This window comes from Homo sapiens, chromosome 2 (genome assembly GCF_000001405.40).
Source record: "Homo sapiens chromosome 2, GRCh38.p14 Primary Assembly".
NCBI lineage: Eukaryota > Metazoa > Chordata > Mammalia > Primates > Hominidae > Homo > Homo sapiens.
In genome coordinates, this window is record NC_000002.12 from 183,284,856 (window position 1) to 183,292,943 (window position 8,088).

The 8,088-nt window shown below is 35.6% G+C and overlaps 1 annotated feature.

The window, feature by feature from the left end:
* Positions 7,169–7,691: an enhancer, noted in NCBI's record as "NANOG hESC enhancer chr2:184156752-184157274 (GRCh37/hg19 assembly coordinates)". NCBI's record gives its function as "activates a minimal SCP1, AML or CMV promoter by ChIP-STARR-seq in naive H9 embryonic stem cells {active_cell/tissue: H9 hESC(naive)}" and the evidence as "EXISTENCE:reporter gene assay evidence [ECO:0000049][PMID:30033119]".

The window sequence follows — 8,088 nt, forward strand, 5'->3', positions numbered from 1 at the left end:
GGTTACCACCTTGTATCTGTGACTTATTTCCTGTACATTCTATTAGAGATGAGTCTTATGACTCTTGTACTTGTTCAAGCAAATATTTTTTGAACACTTACTGTGTCCTTGGCTTTGGGAAGGCTTTGGAGATGCAAAAATTGGTTTGACACGGTCTCCATCTACAGAGATACACACACATCTGCTCATAACCCAGGAAGTGCAGGAATTACACAACCATTACTGCAAGGCTCTGACTAATATTTGGAAATTTAACTGTGCAATTAAACTATTCTAATCATAGCTTTAATTTATAACGATTTTCCTTTCTGTGTTTTTTTTTTCATCTAGTTTCTTTGTAGATCAAACTGAACTCAACTGAGCTTATAGCTGTGAAATCTGAGTGTTTGGTTGAATTCTCTTTTCCCGTAGCCTCAAGAAGCCGTGTAGTACATGTAGCACTTTGTGGGCTAGTTTCCCTGGTTACACTTGTGCATTTTGCCAGACCCTCAGAAAGATGTGATCTCTAATTAACCTTAAAATTAAAGGGCCAACAGCAAGGATTTCATAACTCAGAAGGAGAGGCAGAAAATATTCTGAAAAATGTAAATCTAAGGTGACACTTGTAAATTCACTGAGATAGTACAATATTATGGGATTTCAAAAGGACAAGAAACAACAAAGCACCAATATTAGAATGGCAATTGGCTATATATATTTTTCAGCTCAATCCTCGCGTCTAAAAACTCTGAAGAAATTTTTTTAAAAAGGTTTAAAAATGTATTTAGCCCAACATCTTTTACGGTAGATGTTAAGTAGTACATTGAAAATGGAATCTACCCTCAAAGAATTATCGATTGCCTATTTTGACCCGTCTCCTTTTCATGTCTTGGGAATTCATTTCATTATGGTTTTACAAAACTACGTTATTCTCCAAAGCCAAAATGAATACTTTTTCATGCTTGACTCATGATTTTGAATTATAAAATTGGGTGGATGTGGTACTTTAATCCTCCAGTTTATATTGCACTTTTTTTTTTTTTTTGCCAAAACGGGGGAATAACTTGCAATTAATGGGATCATTGATTCCAATACATGGAATTTTTGTGGATGGATTTAAATATTTACTTTCATGACCAAATGAAAGAATGGACAATCAGGCATTTGAAACCTACAAGAAAAGAAGGAAGGAAAGTTCTCTTGATAGGGAACCCTGGGAAAGTTAACAATCTAGACTCAGGAATAGGTGCTGTGAAGAAATGAATTCATATATACATGAATTCTTTATATATATTTATATATTATATATTATATATATTTATATATAATACAATATATAATATATAAATATATATAATATATATATAAATATATATAATATATAATTATATAGTATATAATATATAATTATATAATATATAATATATAATTATATATATATAATATATAATTATATATATATATAATATATAATTATATATAAATATAATATATAATTATATATAAATATATATAATATATAATTATATATAAATATTTAAAAGGAAAGCAAAACATATTCAGACATTTTCTTATAGTGAATCAAACATTTTAGACTGAAATTAGCCCGCATCTCCCCTTTATGCCTGACGTTTTTTCTTTTTATCTTTTACGTGGCCTTCCTGTTCTTTTGGTTGTTTCTGAGTTAGCTCAGCATAAATACCTAGGAAGCGAAATATCTGAAGGGTTTATTCCTGTGAAAAGCCAAGATTAAAGTAGATTCTTTATGCTTTCGAATTAGTTGGCCTCTTTAATATGTTGCCAGTACAACAAATTTATTCAGCCTCTATAGATTCTTCATGGCTTTCTCATTTCTTCGCCTTTCCCAACATAACTTCTGTTTCATGGTGAATGAAACCTTGCTTTCAGCAATTTCAAAATAACTTCACCTTATCCACATGATTTTAGGGATCAGAGACGAGGAGATTAAATATTAACCTTCAGATGCATTGTTCATGCTGACACTCAGACAAATCTGACTTTTCTGGGCTGATGTTCGGCAGGGGGTCCTTTTTTTTTTTTTTTTTTTTTTTTTTTTTTAGCCCTAAGCTATAAATTATGGAATTTATGCAAAATTAAGGTTTCCTGTGTGTGAAATTAAATATAAAATGAACCCTGGAAATTTGGCAAGGTATTCTTTGTTATTAAGCAAGTGAAGAAAACTCCTCTCATTACAAACTTGGGGGCATTTTGTTCTTTTTATCTTCTTATACCTTTGTGCCACTCTGTCTTTTACTAGCTTTTTTTTTTTTTTTTTTTTTCCTAGTGACTGGTACAAGGGAGCAGGTGTTCCTAACAGTAAATTCTACGTCGCTGATGGGGTGGTTAGTTTCTCTGAGATTTTTTGACATCTTTGTAGATCGTCTTATAGCTATAGAACTTTTTTTCCCACTCTGATACATGGATTGTGAAGTCACTGTGTCAACTCTGTTTTAATACCTGCTGGTTATTGTGGCTTGTAGAAAACTATGTTATGACCACTGTGTACAGATTGCAGTACTGACTTAGATTCTACTCACAGGTAGAATTGCATATTATGTTTGACCAAAATAACTAGAGTTAAGATCATGGTTAGTAGTTAAATTATTTTTTAATTCTTCCACTGTAATTCACTTGTGAGAGGAATACATTTAATGTAGGAATGTAGGAATACATTTAAATGAAGGACATATACCCTTCATTTAAATAATGGTATTTTATTCTTCCTAGAAGCATATAAATTTGCTTTCTCCTACAGAGCTCAAAGATTATACCAAACTATCATCATTTATCCTGAGGTAAGAGTAGTGTTATCTTTATTTTTTATTTTATTTAATTTTTTTTTTTGAGACAGAGTCTTGCTCTGTCGCCCAGGCTGGAGTGCAGTGGTGCCATCTTGGCTCACTGCAAGCTCCGCCTCCCGGGGTCACGCCATTCTCCTGCCTCAGTCTCTCGAGTAACTGGGACTACAGGCACCCGCCACCATGCCCAGCTAATTTTTTTGTATTTTTAGTAGAGACAGGGTTTCACCGTGTTAGCCAGGATGGTCTCGATCTCCTGACCTCATGATCTACCTGCCTAGGCCTCCCAAAGTGCTGGGATTACAGGCATGAGCCACCACGCTGGCCTGTGTTACCTTTATTTTAATCACTGGCAGAGCTGAGGATCAGAGCTTTGGCAACATTTCTTGAATTTTTATTTCATGTACAACTTGGGCTTCTAGATAGGTTTTCGTCTAGTTTACTTTTTCTCCCTTTTACGTAATATATGATGTTTATTATTTTTTTGCAGAAAAAAATATCTGCCTTTTTCTTAGAAGATTGAGATAGTAAAAATTTAAGTTTAGTAAACTGGCAGACTGACAATTTTAAATCTCTCGTAGGAATATATAATCCTTTTTGTCGATATTGGGGGCTCAGAACATGATCCCCACAGTGCATCGGCAAGCTGAGTACTTTGAACTGAAGGAGATGGGAACAGTTTCAGAAGCAAGGTCTTTCTGACTTTCTGCCCTCCTGTCTTCCACTGCTCTTTCTCCCTTTGAAGTGAGTTATAGAAACCAGAACTTTTTCCCCAGAAGGAGTCATAGAAACTAGATTCTCTTTCCTAGGGAGAAAGGAGACTCTCTCTCTCCTAGGGAGAAAGGAGAAACTAGACTCTCTTCAAGGACCTAGGGAGAAAGGAGAAGGGAGTGACCTCTCTAGGTTTTTTGACTTGTTTGAGTGTCCTACCCCACATCCTGGAGGAAGGAATGTTACACGGAGAGATCAAGAGGAATCTCAGCTGACCAGACCTTATAGACCATACCCTCTGTTGAATTACATTCCTACATGGCTGTCCATTCTTCATCAAATCTACACATAAAAATAAAAACTTTATTTCTGAAGTCTCCCACATCATGTAAAACTTTGATTAAATAAATTTGTTTTGTCTATTGCTATACAAATGTTGGCTGTAATGGGTGAGGAAAGGTAGCATGCATTTTTGCCCCAATGTTGGCATTTTTCTTCACTTTCAAAGACAGGCACTCTTATATCTCTATTTTCTTAGGCTTTGGGCACTGTCACAATACAGGCTTATCTTGTTTTATTGCACTTTGAAAATATTGCATTTTTTACAAACTGAAGGTTTGTGGCAACCCTACATCAAGCAAGTCTATTGGTGATATTTTTCTAACAGCATGTGCTCACTTTGTGTCTCTGTGTCACGTTTTGGTATGCCTCATAATATTTCAAATATTTTCATTATTATCATACTGATTATGGTGATCTGTGATGAGTGATCTTTGATGATACTATTGTCATTGTTTAGGGGCACCATGAATTGTGCCTATAAAAGATGGTGAACTTAATTGATAAATGTTGTGTGTGTTCTGACTGCTCCACCCATTGGCTATTTCCCTTTCTTTCCCCTCAGGCCTCCCTATTCCTTGAGACACATAGTATAAAATTAGGCTAATTCATAACCCTACCATGACTCCAAGTGTTTAAGTGAAAGAAGAGTTGCAAATCTCTCACCTTAAATCAAAAGCTACAAATAATTAAATTTAATGAGGAAGGCAAGTGGAAAGCTGAGATAGGCCAAAAGCTAGGTGTCTTGAGACAGACAGTTAACCAAGTTGTGAATACAAAGAGTTCTTGAAGGAAGTTAAAAGTGTTACTCAAATAAAATGATAAAAAGCCATAAGCAATCTTATCGATGACAGGGAGAAAGTTTTAGTGGTCTGAACAGAAGATCAAACCAGCCACAACATTCCCCTAAACCAAAGCCTAATCCAGAGGAAACTTCCAACTTTCTTCAATTCCATGAAGGCTGAGAGAGGTGAGGATGCTGCAGAAGAAAAGTTGGAAGCTAGCAGAGGTTGGTTCATGAGGTTTAAGGAAAGAAGCTGTCTCCATACATAAAAATGTAAGGTGAATCATCAAGTGCTGATGGAGAAGCTGCAATAAGTTATCCAGACAATCTAGCTAAAATAATTGATGAAAGTGGCTACACTAAATAACAGATTTTCAATACAGACAAAATAGCCTTCTATTGGAAGAAGATGCCACCCTGGGCTCATAGCTGAGAGGAAAAGTCAATACGTGGCTGCAAAGCTTCAAAGGATGGGCTGAGTCCCTTGTTAGACACTAATATAACTGACGACTTTAAGTTGAAGCCCATCCTCATTTACCATTCTGAAAATCCTAGAGCTCTTAATAATGATGCCTAGAGCCCTTAATAATGATGCTAAATGTACTCTGTCTGTGCTCTATAAATGAATCAACAAAGCTTGGGTGACAGTATATCTGCTCACAGTATGGTTTGCTGAATATTAAAAACCCGTTGTTGAGATCTGCTCAGAAAAGGAGTTTTCTTTCAAAAGATCATTGCTCCTTGACAACGCATCTGGTCATGCAGAAGTTCTGAAGGAGATTAATGTTGTTTTCATGCCTGCTGTATTAGCTCGTTCTCACACTGCTATAAAGACACTACCTGAAATGGGGAAATTTATAAAGAAAGGAGGTTTAATTGATGAACAGTTTTGCATGGCTGGGGAGGGCTCAGGAATCTTAGAATCATGGCAGAAGGGGAAGAGGGACATCTTACATAGCAGCAGGTGACAGAGTGTGTGAAGGAGGAACTGCAAACACTTATAAACCCATCAGATCTCGTGAGAACTCCCTCACTATCACAAGAACAGCATGGAGAAAACTGCCCCCATGATCCAATCACCTCCCATCAGGTACCTCCTTCAATACCTGGGGATTATAATTCAAGATGAGATTTGGGTGGAGTCACAGAGCCAAACCAATCTCATGCGAACACAACATCTGTTTAGCATCCCATGGATCAAGGAGTAATTTTGACTTTCTAGTCTTATTTAAGAAATATATTTTGTAAGGCTATAGCTGCCATACATAGTGTAAGGCTATAGCTGCCATACATAGTGATTTCTCTGAATCTGGGCAAGGTAAATCAAAAAACTTCTGGAAAGGATTCACCATTTTAGATGCCATTAAGAACATATGTGATTAAGAACACGGGAGTAGGTCAGTATGTCAACATTAACAGAACTTTGTAAGAAGTTAACTCCAACCTCACAGATTACTTTGATGGGTTGAAGACCTCAGTGGAGGAAGTAACTGTAGATGTGGTGAAAATAGCAAGAGAATTAGAGTTGTAAATAGAGCCTAAACATGTGACTGAATTGCTGCAATCTTATGAGCAACTTGAATAGATAAGGTGTTGCTTCTTATGAAAGAGCAAATAAAGTAGTTTCGTGAGATGGAACCTACTCCTGGTAATGATGCTGTGAACATTGCTGAAGTGAAAAAAAAAATTAGCAAGTAACTTAGTTGATAAAACAGCAGCAGGGTTTGAGAGGATCAACTCCAATTTTGAAAGTTCTTCTGTGAGTCAAATGCTATCAAACAGTATCACATGCTACAGAGAAATCTTTTGTGAAAGAGTCAATCATTGCAGTACACTTCATTTTTTTTTATCATTTTAATAAATTGTTGTAGCCACCCCAACCTTCAGCAACCACTATCCTACCCTGATCAGTCAGGAACCATCAACATTGAAGCAAGATCCTCCACTAGCAGAAAGATTAAGACTCTCTTAAGGCTCAGATAATTGTTAGCATGTTTTAGAAATAAAGTATTTTTAAATAAAGCATATGCATTGTCTTTTTAGACATAATGCTACTACACACTTAATAGACTACAGTATAGTATAAACATAAATTTTATATGAGCTGGGAAACAAAAAAAAATGTGACTCATTTTTTTGTGGTCATCTGGAACCGAGCTCACAATGTCTCCCAGGTATGTATGTATTCTCCAGGCTCTCAATAGCTTGCTAATGACTTAATGCTATTGTTCAATTACCCTAAAATGTAAGTTAGAATTAAACAAAAGCAATTTGATAATCTTTAATTTGATGGACTTTATAATACCTTAAAACAACGCATTGTTGGTTCAGGTTTTGGCTGTTTTGGTGTTCAGAGGAATATAGGACATTTTGGTGAAAATCAAAGTTAATAAAATATTTAGCACTTAAAGTATTTTTATTCTACATCCTGCTTAAAGCTTCTTTTCTTATGAGGGGCAATAGTTTTTGAAGTTTTTTTTAAATGTGTAATATTCAAAGATTCTTCAACCCCCAATAGTTTCCTGCTGAAACCTCCTGTGTTGTGCTGCAAAGGGGTCTATGATAAACAGGGTCTGTAATTCTTTGTTTGTATTTTGTCTCCTCTCTTGGCTTCCTTTATACCTTTTTCTTTTCTCTTTGACCCTGAATTCTTTTCTTATCTGGTGGAACTGCTAGAATCCCTGCTGATAAGTCTCAGCTAGAGACACTGTTTCCTGCAGCAGGGAGGAAATGTTGCAGCTCCTTCTTGATTGATAAGAGGTGCAGAGCCCTGCTGAGCAGCTGCAAAAAGCAAATCCCTGCTTCAGAAGAAGTGAGTACTCTTAAGGCATTGATCTCAACCTGAGATTTTGCCTTATTTGCAAGGTGTAAGGAAGGATGACTTGGTGAACTGAAATGGCCATTGGTCAGATGTGGTCAGATCCACTGAGGAATGATTATGCCAAGTTTAGAGGGGACCACTCACTAAGTGCTGAGATTATGGTGCTGGTCATGATCGATGCTGATAGTAAATACAGCTACATTGCCATTGTGGCCTTTATGTTGAGTTGTTTTTGTGATGACTATTATTGTTCAAGAATTGCATTTTCCAATTAATGGAAGTACTTTAGGTATATTATCTATAATAATAATTTTAAATGATAACAAATATGGAAATTAGACCAGAGCATAAAATTAAAGATATTTGAATAATTACAGTGCAATCAAGTCAAAATTACTGATGCCTTTATCTGATGCTGTATTATGTGGAAAACAGCAAAGAATATACGTGCTTTGGAAGTTGAAAGTACATCAGATTTTGACAGTAAAACTGCGTAAATTATCAAGTAGTTTGAGTAATTTTTCTCCATGAATCTTCAAGTAAAAATAATAGTTGCAAAGATGAGTTCTGAAGAAAATTGGAAGGAATAAGTCAATATTCCAAATAACTTCTTAAACATGCTTGCTCTTTGAGAA